Genomic DNA, 14228 nt, shown 5'->3' on the forward strand with positions numbered 1-14228 from the left:
GCGCCTGTAGTCTCAGTTACTTCGAAGGCTGAGGCAGGAGAATTGCTTGAAACTGGGAGGCAGAGGTTGCAGTGAGCCGAGATCGCACCACTACACTCCAGCCTCGCAACAGAGCAAGACTCTGTCTCAAAAAAAAAAACAAAAAAACAAAACAAAAAAAAAACTAGAAAAAGAAAAGCCAGTGAATCCGAGTGATCAGTTTGGCTTTGTTTCCCCACCCAAATCTCATCTTGCATTGTAATCCCCAAATCCCCACGTGTTGTGAGGGAGCCGGTGGAAGGTAACTGAATCATGGGAGTGGTCTCCCTGCAGGCTGTTCTTGTGACAGTGAGTTCTCACGAGATCTGATGGTTTATAAGGGGCTTCCCCCTTCGCTCGGCACTCATTCTCTCTCCTGCTGCCCTATGGAGAGGTGCCTTCCACCATGATTGTAAGTTTCCTGAGGCCTCCCCAGCCATGCAGAACTGTGAGTCTATTAAACCTCTTCTCTTTATAAATTACCCAGTATCAGGTATTTCTTCATAGCAGTGTGAGAACGAACTAATACACCAAGTAAGCAGTAGAAAAGAAATAATAAAGATGAGAGTGAAAGATCAATGAAACAGAAAAACAACAGAGTATCACTCAGAACAAAAGCTGGTTCTCTGAGGAGATAGTTGATTTATTTATTGATTGATAGATAGATAGATAGATATGTTCATTGCTAAGGCTGCCATAACAAAGCACCACAAGCTGGGTGGCTTAAACAAAAGGAATGTATTGTCTCACAGTTCTGGAGGCTAGAAACTTGAAACCAAGATATCTGAGGACTGTGACAGAAAGATGTGTAATCTTCTCACTGTCCTGTAGATGACTGTCTTCTCCTGTGTCTCTTCACATCATCTTCCCTCTATGCTTGCCTGTCTCCAAACTTCCCCCTTTTATAAGGACAATAGCCACGCTGGATTAGTGTCACCCAATCCATTATGACCTCATTTTAACCAATTATATCTGGACCAACCTTATTTTCAAATAAGGTCACGGTCTGAGGTCCTGGGCTTTAAGACTTCAACATATAAATTTTAGATGGGCACAATTCAACCCACAGTCCCAGACTATCAGGAAAAAAGTAAAACAGAAATTACCAACATCATAAATGAGAGCAGGATATCCTGTAAACTCTATAGATATCAAAAAAATTGAGAGTATAATAAATAGCTGTAAGCCAATAAATATGACAATGTAGATGATATAGATAAAATCTTTGAAAGTTCACTCAAAAAGAAATGGATAACCTAAATAGCCCCATATCTAATACGACATCACATTATACACTGTAAATATATACAATTTGTCAATTATACCTTAATAAAGTAGGGGCTGGGGAGGAAAAAAGCCTTGATCTATGATAGAAATAACTGAATCTGGCACTGAGTTAATGAAATTAATAATCACAGTTTACAATTATTAAGTGTCTTTACTGCTGAGAGACACCTAGAGGCCCCACAAATATAGAGCCAAATGGAAAATTTCAGCAACTCACTCAGTGAATATATGGGGCTCAGCCACAAATGAAACTATTATAGTTTCATTTCTAAGCCTAACATTCTAAACAGTGTGAGAAATGTCACTGTTAAAATCATCACTGAATTTCAAAATATTATAAAAATATAATGAAGTTGGTCATAATTTCATCTGAAAAAAGGAAAACTGTTATATATACAGTATCTTTGTTTGAATCATTTTATTCCAAAAGGAAGCCTCTATATTTACTTATATTTGTAAAAGATGGTACTAATGTTTTGACAAAAAAAAAAAAACAGGAGAAAATCAATGTAAACACACCATTTTAAGTGGCTGAAAAAAAACCACACGAACATCTCAACAGACGGACAAAAAGTATTTGACAAAAATTCAACACTCATTCCTCATAAAGACTTTAGCAAATTATGAGAGAACATCTCAACTTGATAAAAGTAATGGGCTGAGAGATAGAGAGGGTTAACTTTGCCTGCTCTAAAACTCTATTATTCTAACCAGGTTGGCCTACGGCAAAGAGGTGGGGATGGGGTTAGCACAGCATTTACTTTCTCTGATGTTTTCTATAAAATCATGTAAAAAAAGTGACTTTCAATAAGTGTATGATAAAGAAAAGCTTACTAATTTTTCCCCAAAAATGTCTTGTTATAAAATTAGAATGTTTCTCAAACATTAAAATCCTTGGCAATTATGGTACTTTTGGACATTCTAGTCATATCTGTACTGTTTGGCATCTGATCTGCTTAGGTAACCTAACTCAAGCAGTATCCTACCTTCTTTTAACACCCCTCCCCCTCAATTCTGACCATTTGATAATCATTTTGATTGTCATTCAAAATGTTATTTTCACTTTACCCTAATTTACAGATATCTATGACTAGCTTATCCTCCTATATACTGAGTACTTTTTACCTGGCTTAATCTATTTATGGTTTTCTGTTTAGGTAGTTTTTTTAAATACGAAGTAGCTTATAAATAACTGATACAGCAAGGCATGGTAGCTCACTCCTTGTAATCCCAGCACTTTGGAAGACTGAGGTGGGAGGATCGCTGAGCCCAGGAGTTCAAGAGCAGCCTGGGCAACATAGTGAGACTCTGCCTCTACCAAAGATTAAAAAAAACAAACAAACACTAGCCAGGTGTGGTGGTGTATGCCTGTAGTCACAGTACTCCTGAGGCTGAGGCAGGAAGATCACTTGAGCCCAGGAGTTCAAGGCTGCTGTGAGCTATGATCATGCCATTGTACTCCAGCCTGGGCAACGGAATGAGACCCTGTCTCTAAATAATAATAATAATAATTTATACCATTTACTGAGCATCTAATACCTAGTTTCATTTAGTCTCCACACCATTCTCTGATGTAGGTGGTATTATCCCTATTTTAAAAACTGAAGAATCTGAGGTTCACGAAGATGAAGCAGCATGACTAGTTTCACACAGGTGCTTAATGGCAGCAGAACTAAGATTAGGTCCCGGGTTGCACTGACTTCAAAAGCTATACTCCACACTAATCAGCTGCTTTTTTCATCCTTATTGTTCTCTCTTTGGGTTGTTCACTTTGGTCCCAGAAAGACGAGACTTTTTTCTCATCTGAATTCACTGGTAGAACATCCACGATCTGCTTGTTTACTCATGATAATCCCTCCACTTTGGAAAAAAAAAAAAAAAGTGATATTCACCAGCAATTAAAAACCTAGGTTGCCAGGAACAGTGGCTCATGCCTGTAATCCCAACACTTTGGGAGGCCGAGGCAGGAAGATTGCTTCAGCTCAGGAGTTCGAGACCAGCCTGGACAACATGGCAAAACCCCATCTCTATAAAAAATACAAAATTGGCCATGCATGGTGGTGTGTACCTGTAATCCTAGCTACCAGGAGACTGAGGTGGGAGGATCGCTTGAGCCCAGGAGGTCGAGGCTGCAGTGAGCCGTGACTGCACCGCTGCACTCCAGCCTGGACGACAGAGCAAGACTGTCTCAAAAAAACAAAAAAATAACAACAAAAAAAAATCCAACAATAACAAAAAAGATCTAGGACTATGAATTGAAGCTTTCTTTTTTAAAAAATCAAAAACCCTTATGACTTGGAGATTCAAAGTTATAAGAGCACATTACTTGTAAGAATCCTTGAAGGCAATTTGTTGTTAAAATCATGCCATAGAGCTCAACACTTTAAATGCATAATAAATTTTCTCTAGAAATGCTATTCACTTACACTGACAGCATTGATATCTGAGACATGTCCCGTGAAAGACTGTCTACACATTCCATCTCGAATATCCCATAATTTGGAAGAGGCATCACAAGCACCAGAAACAAAAGTCCTCATGTCAGGACTCAAAGAAAGACTCATCACATCTCCAGAATGCCCAGTGAATGTGGTGGTCTGCTGGGCAGTTTCGATGTCCCATAAAGCACTGTAATTAAAAACAAAATTTCATGACAATTACTTCTTCTTATGTCAGTTCCTGCTACCACCCTCAAACCCATAATCAGTGTGCTTCTGGAATAAACTTACCAAGTTGTATCTCCTGAACTTGTAACAATTTGGCTGTCATCTAAAAAACGACAGCAGGACAAGTACCCTACAGCATAAAGAGTAGCAAATTTTAGGTTATCACTGATTGAATAACTCAGTTACCATGTGAAATAGCAATATATATTTTTAAAAATAGAATACTTGGGCAACAAGTGTTTGTCAATATAGTCTATAGTTCTACTTTTAGTTACTTCAAATCCTACATTGTCTATAAACCAAATTTTATCCACAAACCATTCTTAGGCATTAACTATGTTAATGACATTGTGCTGGGTACTCTGAAAGTTACCAAATTGAATAAGACACAGCCCCTGCCACCTAAGACAATTACCTTGGGAAGAACTATAATCTATGGCCGACTGTGTTAAGCACCCTGGAGAAATAGTTTTAAAATACTGTGAGAGGATGCCTCTGGGTGCACCGCCTATGAGTTAGCCCTTCTCTGCAAGGAGCAGTTAAAAAAATTTTTTTTTCAAATAAAAAATATTAAAAAAATAAAATATTGTAAGAAATCAGAAGAACAACAGTGAAGACTTTATGAAAGATGTGGCATTTGAATGCTTAGCATTCATCAGTGTTTCAAAATATGGAAATGTCAGAAAAACACCATTCTAGAGATTTTGTAAAAGCATGGTCAAATAGTATGGCTAAAAATTCAGATGGATAGATACCAGATAAGTGGCAATAAATTCCTGATTAACACCACTAACCCAATACTACACTATTGAACTATGATGGGCACACTGGCAAACAAAGCAATACACTATCATGGTGAAAAGCACTTCACTAATGTACCTTAATGCATACTTTCAATTATGTAATTGAGTACAGATGCCACAATCCCATAATTGTTATATGGCAGCAGAAAATGGAGAACATTTTATTTGCTTTATTTTTCATGAGTTTGAATTTTGTGCAGTAAATTTATCATTTTTTACAAAAACAATACAGCTATTTTTGAAAAATAAAATTATGATCAACGTTTGTATGACTATAAAAAGTTAATGTTTCCTTTGTTCATAATAATTTCATTCCCACCCGATTAATCCTCATCCTTTAGCCAGCCGAGCACAATCTGTCATTTGTCCTTGATCAGCACATTCCACACAAGGAATCGTGTGGTGGGAAAGAATATTTAGGGAAGCTCACCTGTGTGACCTGGCAACTCTCGGCTTACTCTCACATTTCCCTCTCTGGTCTTTAAGTTATATATAGAGCAGATGTTGTCCAAGCCTCCACAGGCAACATAATTACCAGAGGGAGCATAAGCACAGGTCATCACCCAGGAGGACCTCAAAGGAATAGCATGCATCTGTAGGGCACACACCACACATCACTCAGATTACAAAAACAGTCATCTATTGCATAAACCCATTTACAATGAAGTAAATATTATTAAAAATTAAACACATCTAAGAAAGATAAGTCAAATAAAATAATGTAATGGCTTGAGAAAGTGAACCATGAAAAATACAACACTAACGCACATTAAAATGCCTATTGTTTTGTATTATCAAATCATTTGAGTCAAAAAGTGCTCTTTTTGGAAATAATTCTCTTAATAAAATAATGAACATAAAGATGTTCCAAGGTTAATATACTGCCATTTGAAAAATTAAGTGTAAAATGTTAGAGGTTTTAATAGAATTTTCACTTTTGTAATAGTGCTCAGAAGAGAAATTTCCTCCAACATAACTCTGAACAAGAACTAGGGAAATAATTAGCAAGTATCAGAGTCGATTACATGAGTCTTCCATGAAAAGACAACACTGGCATCCCTCTATTAATAGGCCCTTATTCTGGGATCTCATTCAAACAATGGTGATAGTTTTTTATTGCTCTAGAAACAACACTGTCTGCTGCCTTGTTACCCTAACACCAATCATTTGAAGGTCAGATGGAAAAAAGGTGTATGAGAATACCACGGCTAAACAGTCCATACAGGGAATCAACACGTGGCAGGATTACTACTATGCTCTCACTTAACCTAAAATAATACGCTTAAAATACATTTTTTTTGTTTTATGAAAATATAGTTGAAAGATAATGTGCTTAATGATGATTAATAAAGAAAAACTATTATATTACAAAATTGTCTTAGCTAGCTTTAAAATCTCAATCAGGTTGAAATTATTATTTCACAAAATGGTATTTTCAAATGTTTAATAAAAATACTAATATGTATACACAGAGTATAAAGGTATTAGCTTATCAAAGTATTCCTGAAGCTTTTTCACCACTCAACTATTTTAAACTGGGGATTCCTTCCAGTGGATGTATTAGGACCATCCACAGTCTTTTACCACCAAGAGATCTACGTAAGTTGTCATTTACCTCCAATCTACTGTATCTTCTAAAAAGTCCAGAAGCACAAATCAGTGCCTGGAGCGGGCCAAAGAAGAGCTTCCCACTAGCCATCTAACTTATCCAAAACTAGAAATAAAAATCTCAAGGTCTTTGTCATATTAGGAAATGGGAATTTTTAAAAATCATTTATTAGTATATGTAAAATGGTACTCTTCTAATATTCATATATTAAATATGAGCCCTCTAGTAAAACATAGAGTCATCTTTGGAAATGAAAAAGGGTTAAACATTAAAAGTAAACACTAAGACAAAAGAGAAGAACTAGATTAAAATAAACAATAAATTTATCTCAGAAAGCAATTTAAGTTTGAGGTAAAAGAATAAAGGAAAGAACTGGTGAACAGCCAAACAAATATAAGGTTATTTAAAAGAATTATGAAGAAATTCTACCTTATTTGTTGTATAGCTATCCCAAATAATTAATTTTCCATCTTGAGAAGCACTGACTAGCAGCCTAGAGGAACAAACACAAAAATAATTTGACACTTAGAGGGAAAAAATAGCTTAAATTGGTTATGCATTGCATTAATGTAGAATAATTCAGAAAAATACAATTTTTCCAACTAAAAACTTGATACCAAAAAATGTTCTTCCAACTTTTAAAAAATTTATGCTGCATGCCAAAAATCTTGAACATATTTCATAAAATAAAATTTAGCAACTGACTAAAAATGTCTGGCTATGATTAAACATTTTTGTGGTAACAACATCTTAGTTATACAAGATTTGGGTGGATATTAGCTGACTGGTTTAGTACTTACTGACTTACTTAAATTTCATGACAAGAATGTACATAGAAGCCTAACAACCATATTTCATCCAATCTAAAAACACCAATTGAGAGCCTGAGAATATGACAATACTAGAGGTACAACGCAGGATACATCGCCTGCTCTTGAGGCCTCTACCATCTGGTGAAGATAAGACATTTACTCATATTTATATTAAATCAAGTAAGTAAAAACTGTCAGAAGAGGGGTATAAAATAAATGCCACAGGAGAGTAAAGGAGGAACAATGGCTAGATGAGTTAATCACAAGAGAATGAGTCTTGAAAGAAAATGTTGAGAGCTAAAGATACAGAAAAGGCTGTATTTTAGGAGAAAGCTATGTAAGATCAATGACAGGTAGAAAAATACACTGAGTGTTGTTTCAGGAATTGTGGGTCTTCCAGTAGTACAGTTTGTGAGAAAATGGAAAAATAAGTTGAGAAAAGCAGACTGGGCTTAAACTGCAGAAAGCTTTGTTAAACTAAAGAGTATGAACTCCTAAGTAATTTTAGCCACTAAATTTTTTGTTTTGTTTGGATTTTTTTTTTTTTTTTGAGACAGACACTCACTGTGACACCCAGGTTAGAGTGCAATGGCACGATCTCAGCCCACTGCAACCTCCGCCTCTCAGGTTCAAGTGATTCTCCTGCCTCAGCCTCCCGAATAGCTGGCATAACAGGTGTGCACCACCACGACTGGTAAGATGGGATCTCAACATGTTGGTCAGGCTGGTCTTGAACTCTTGACCTCAAGTGATCCACTCGCTTGGCCTCCCAAAGTTCTGGGATTACAGGCATGAGCCACCATGCCCAGCCTTGTTTGGAATTTTTACTTTTCACCATGGTGTAAAATTCAAAAAATAAAAAAGGATATACAGAAGAAAATTTAAAAAGCACCTTCCTGGGCCTATCATCAGCCACCCAGTTCCTTTCCCTAGAGGTAAATAACATTATCAGATTCTTGGGTAGCAATCACTACAAGGTTTTACAAAAGGGAAGATCTATCTGATAGTGGGGTATAGGATGGCATCTAAAGAAAATTCTTTAGAAATCAATTGGCATCATCAGCATAAGAGTTGAGGAGAACATTAAGTAATGGATTGATAACACGGATGGGTGGGAAGACTATGTGAGATAGGTTCCTGGATGATGGTTTCATTTTTCTATGAAGATTAACAGTCTTCAGAAAACGTTTAAGGAAAGCAAGAACCATAAACATTGTTTCAAGTTACTATATTTTAAGTTAAAATTTTGCTTTATCAACAGGTAAATTATTTTTATCTTCAACTCCTTTAAGAAAAAGAATAAGACATTCGGCCAGGCGCGGTGGCTCACACCTGATTAATCCCAGCACTTTGGGAGGCTGAGGCGGTTGGATCACCTGAGGTCAGGAGTTCAAGACCAGGCTGGCTAACATGGTGAAACCCCCTCTCTACTAAAAATACAAAAATTAGTCAGGCGTGGTTGTGGATGTCTGTAATCCCAGCTACTTGGGAGGCTGAAGCAGGAAAATCCCTTGAACCTGGGAGGCAGAGGTTGCAGTGAGCCGATACCACACCATTGTACTCCAGCCTGGGCAACAAGAGTGAAACTCTGTCTCAAAAAAAAAAAAAAAAAAGAAAAAAGAAAAGAAAAAGAAAAAGATTAAGACATTATGTCAGTTGCCAATTATATAATTTTATGTATCCCTTCGTAAGAGGCACATGTTCTATATTATTGTGGTCAAGTATCCCAATTAGAGCAACAATTGAGGCTTCTTCTACTTTATAATTTTAGTGTCTCCTGGGAGAAGAGAATAAATGTGCAACTTCTATTAAAACATAGAAGTTTCTTGGTTTAGGCATTTCCCATTAAGATTAACCAAATCAAAGGAACAAGTAAACCACTGTGATAGCAGACACATCTGCTATTGCCAGACAATGGAAAAACATAGGCTGTGCTGTAGCCTTATACACATAGTGAATGACAGTGATGAGCAATCTATCTAACTGTAGGCCACGTAGCAGCTGTGCGTGTGCCTGTGCACCTGCAGATGGTCAGCTTGCACATTCAAGCACACACCTTTCTGTGATGCAGTCGAGGGAGTAAAAGATGTATTCAGTACAAACACCTTTGTTTCATGTAATTTCCATTATTTGCGAATTTATGTAATAACAAACTATAGCAATATCCAAAAACTTGCACATAGGTGTTCAATACGTATTTGCTTATGAACTGAAATTTCAAGCTTCATATACAGTAAAAACGCTTTGTGCCTATTTAAAAAACAAAGAATGTCTGCAATGTTCCACTGCAAAGAAAAGGAATCCTCTTCTGAACAGTTGTCCTGGATTCCATATTAAAAATGTTTATACTTTTAAAGAGTCAATTAATATTCTTATTGAAAGCAGCATGTTCATCTGAGATGCATTTTCTGCAAACGCTTCATGAATATATTCTGTTTTTAAACAAAGAAAATGCAAATGATGGTTCTTAATGAAAATAATTCTGCAACAGTTTAAAAATGACAGGTAATGACAGGTACAAACCTGGAATCGTATCCCCAATGCATAGCATAGATTTTAGCTAGGTGGCCCCTCAGTGTACGTCTTGTTCGCATTTGTATTCGACCCACAGAGTCCATATTTGATGTAATCTTTTGAAAGCAACAAAAATGTTATTCTTTACCTTAATCATAGTTCATGAGATAACTTGAACTAGAAACAGTGAGGAGTTAAAAAAGCAAACATAAAGTACATTTATAGTAACTGAAGGTAATTTAATGTATATAATTCCACAGAGCCGTTATGGGATCAATATGTTCCTGAAAATTATGATTAGTTTAAAATAATCCTATGTGCTGTTATAAATAATATACATAAATGTATAATAAGAATGCCTTCTGCAGACTATTAACTAAAAAGAATAGATATACCTCTATGCTTTAGTAAAAAACCAGCCACAAATAAAAATCTAGAGGCAAATGATCACAGTAAACATTTACAATTTTAACTGTAAGAAAGCCAATTTTATATTTGTAGAGCACATAAAATACTTCCTTAATAATAATGATCAATATTAATTAAACATGAAGCCTTCCCAAGATTTTTTAAAAATATTAGTCTTCTTGACCCCTCTTACTATCTCATTCCCAACCTAAGAGTTTTCATAAGGAAAAAAACACTTAATCAGGGTATACCAAAAAGAATCAGAAACTATTTAAAAAGAAGCATAAACTATATGAATCTATACATACATATATATATACATACATAAATATATATAATTTTTTTTTTTTCGAGACAGAGTCTCACTTTGTCTCCTGGGCTGGAATGCAGTAGGGATCTCGGCTCATTGCAATATCTGCCTCCCAGGTTCAAGCGATTATCCTGCCTCAGCCTACCAAGTAGCTGGGATTACAGGCAGGCACCACCATGACCAGCTAACTTTCATGTTTTTTTTTTTTTTCTAGTAGAGACAGGGTTTCACCATGTTGGCCAGGCTGGCCTCAAACTCTTGACCTCAAGTGATCCTCCCACCTCGGCCTCCCAAAGTACTGGGATTACAGACATGAGCCACCATGCTTGGCCTTGAAAATATATATACATATATATATATATATTTTTTTTTGAGACGGCGTCTCACTCTTCTCGCCCAGGCTGGAGTACAATGGTGCGATCTCAGCTCACTGCAACCTCTGCCTCCTGGGTTCAAGTAATTCTCCTGCCTCAACCTCCCGACTAGCTGGGATTATGCCCAGCTAATTTTTTTTATTTTTAGTAGAGATGAGGTTTTACCATGTTGGTATAGCTGGTATATTTTTATAGCATTTATTTTTCCATAGATGTCTATTTTAACAATATATTTTAAAAAGCACTCGCACTGTATAGCATTTGACAAATTACGAAGTGCTTTTACACAGAGATTTCATTTAACTTTTTTCAATTAAGCACTAATACAAGAATCTGAATGTCATTTGCCTCTATGTCAAATTATTTTATGAGTTACCAAAATGAAATAAAGAAAAACAAAACTTTACCTGAACAAGCGTTGCATCATTACATGCTTTCCGAGCATCCTGAAGTAAAAAAATATGATTATAATGCATTTAGCAACCTGTGGAATGACTAAAGTGATACTTTTATTGAAAACGTAGATTTGTGAATTTACTTCTCACTGTACCACATCTTTAAAAATTTTTTTAATTGATATAAAAATCACATAACCTAAATCAAACCATTTTAACCATTTTAAGGCATGTAATCCAGTAGTTTTTAGTATCACAATGTTGTGTGACCATCACCACTAATTACAGAACATTTACATCACCCCAAAAAAGAAACCCCATATCTCCTAATTCCTTTTTCTCTCACAGCCCTTAACAGTCACTAATTTACTTTCTTTCTCTATGGATTTGCCTCTTCTGAACAAAATTTGAGAGATGTCAATAAAAATTTGAGAGACCTCAAATTTTTATACAAACTGAAAAGGATTATCAAAAGGAAGACGGTGAAGCAGAAATTAACAAAAAATTAAAGACTGCAAAGAACATATTTAATAAAAAAAGTTTTACACCAAACATCAGTTTTTTTCAAATTTATCAGTTAACAAATTTAGAGGATTTATATACATAGAAAAATAAGAAATGAAATTAAATCCTTCCTGCTAGGCTTAAACTTTTTTCCACAAAGGTTATAGTAGTATCCTCTTCAATTTTGTTTTTTCTATACAGTGTTTAAGTACTTGCATAGTCCTGGGCAAGGAGAACGCACAAGATGTTTGCTGAATAAATGTCCCAAATGGACAACTTGTTCCAGTCAGCCGAGGGAAAAATGCCTGCTTCAGCTCCCAGCAAACACTGGATGGCAGACATGATCTTTCTGGCTGCCCTTTCAACCTATTTATAACCACTCAGAATATTTCTAAGTAAGGGTGTTCACAAGTAGTTGCACTAAACATGTGATTTGATTATTTCATTCTTAGCCAAATTGTGGGTTTAAAGACCTCATCTGGTAAGGAATAATGTAGCCCACTTTCCTATAATGAAGAGTTTCCAGAAATGACAGTGATGGGCCTGAACCATGTTCCAAAAATGGTAGAGTTAAAGACCAAATTCTTAAAAAAGGTTCTTTGACTTCAAGCTTTATGAAAATGAACCATCATTGTTTAGACTATCTTTTTTAATTTAGTTAGTTGTTAAAAAAACTGGGTTGAACACTATGTGTCAGGCACTATTCTAGGCACCAATAGGCGTCAAAAATCTCTGCCCTCATTGAGCTTACATTAATATTAGTAACACAATTTAAAAATTGCAAATGGAAATTATTGAACTACGCTGAAAATTGGTAACAAAAATTAAAATATTATGTTGGAATACAAGAATTCTACAAATATGTTAGCAGCAGTTATGTGCAAAATTACATTATGCAAAGATTCTATTTACACTGAGAACTCTCTCTTATGAACACTATTATCCATTATAAAACAGAATATAAGGCCAGGCGTGATGGCTCATGCCTATAATCCCAGCACTTTGGGAGGCCGAGGAGGAAGGATCGCTCGAGCCCAGGAGTTTTAGATAAGCCTGGGCAAAACAGTGAGACCCTGTCTCTGGAAAAAAAAAAAGCAAAACAAAACAAAAAAAAGAACAGAATATAAAAAATATTCCCAATTAAAGGCTGAATTCCATACTGTCCAGCACCACAAGAAATAAAAAATCTGGTAAGATATTTGTGCAAAAGAAAGATGATACATACTTTTTTGCAAATCAAAGACATAACAATTACACAAGAAAACAAAATCTATTTTCTCTATTTGCATTTTTTAAAATTTAAAACAAATCATCTATTATAATACATAGCATACATTTCTATTATATCATGTATTTACACTATAGTAAGGTAAAAATATAGTTAGATTATATTTCCAGATGGGAGGAGGAAGGAAGGAAAGATTTTTTTTGAGACAGAGTCTTGCTCTGTCGCCCAGGCTGGAGTGCACTGGCGCCATCTTGGCTCACTGCAAGCTCTGCCTCTCAGGTTCATGCCATTCTCCTGCCTCAGCCTCCCGAGTAGCTGGGACTATAGGTACCCACCACCACGCCCAGCTTTTTTTTGTATTTTTAGTAGAGATGGGGTTTCACCATGTTAGCCAGGATGGTTTCGATCTCCTGACCTCGTGATCCACCCGCCTCAGCCTCCCAAAGTGCTGGGATTACAGGTGTGAGCCACCGTGCCCAGCCAGAAAGATTTTTAAATATAGTGTGACAATTAAACTAAGAAAAGTACATAGTATTTTACATATATGTGGTTACTTCAAATCATGGGAGGAGATGATTTGGTGAGCACCTGCGCCCACGACATTGTGCTTGGGATGCTAGTGAGATACGGAGATGATTAAGACACAAAATTATCCATCTAGGTACAAACAGTAGGGGCAAATATGCACAAGAACTACAACACAAGGCAGACCGTGATCAGCTCTATAACAGAAGTCCAACATGCTGTACAAGTAAAAATCTGCCACTTGCTGGCAGCAGACTAAGTCCTCTATGTGTTATTTCACTTAATCCTCTGCAGAAACATATAAAGTGGGGTACTGGTACTCTTGCTTCACAGCAAAGATACTGATCATCAATGAAGTTAAGAAACTTGACTGGGCGTGGTGGCTTACGCCTGTAATCCCAGCACTTTGGGAGGCCGAGGCAGGTGGATCATGAGGTCAAGCGATCAAGACCACCCTGGCCAACATGGTGAAACCCCGTGTCTACTAAAAATACAAAATTAGCTGGGCGTGGTGGTGTGTGCCTATAGACCCAGCTTCTCAGGACGCTGAGGCAGGAGAATCACTTGAACCTGGGAGGCAGAGGTTGCAGTGAGAAGAGATCGCACCACTGCACTCCAGCCTGGGCGACTGAGACTCCGTCTCACTCTGATTTAAAAAAAAAAAAAAGATAAATCCAAGTGGAGGGCTCTTGGAGGATTAGGACTCAACAGATAGGATTTCCAAAGAGCAAAATTGGCTCAGAAGTCGTATAATTCCAGGCCAAGGGAACAATTT

The 14228-nt window shown here is 36.5% G+C and overlaps 1 protein-coding gene across 5 annotated transcripts in view; it reads right to left on the bottom strand.

Moving 5' to 3' along the window:
• The window catches only part of GNB4 (G protein subunit beta 4), a 131711-nt gene that overhangs the window by 13593 nt on the left and 103890 nt on the right, over nucleotides 1-14228 (bottom strand). For all 5 annotated transcript variants that reach the window (XM_047448654.1, XM_047448653.1, NM_021629.4 and 2 more), the window contains 6 exons: nucleotides 11209-11247; nucleotides 9719-9825; nucleotides 6813-6876; nucleotides 5205-5367; nucleotides 4035-4101; nucleotides 3732-3933 (listed from right to left, as the gene is read on the bottom strand). In XM_047448654.1, coding sequence (XP_047304610.1) covers nucleotides 3732-3933; nucleotides 4035-4101; nucleotides 5205-5367; nucleotides 6813-6876; nucleotides 9719-9825; nucleotides 11209-11247 — 642 coding nt within the window. The remainder of the gene's footprint in view (nucleotides 1-3731; nucleotides 3934-4034; nucleotides 4102-5204; nucleotides 5368-6812; nucleotides 6877-9718; nucleotides 9826-11208; nucleotides 11248-14228) is intronic.

This window comes from Homo sapiens, chromosome 3 (assembly GCF_000001405.40).
Source record: "Homo sapiens chromosome 3, GRCh38.p14 Primary Assembly".
NCBI classification, from domain to species: Eukaryota; Metazoa; Chordata; class Mammalia; order Primates; family Hominidae; genus Homo; species Homo sapiens.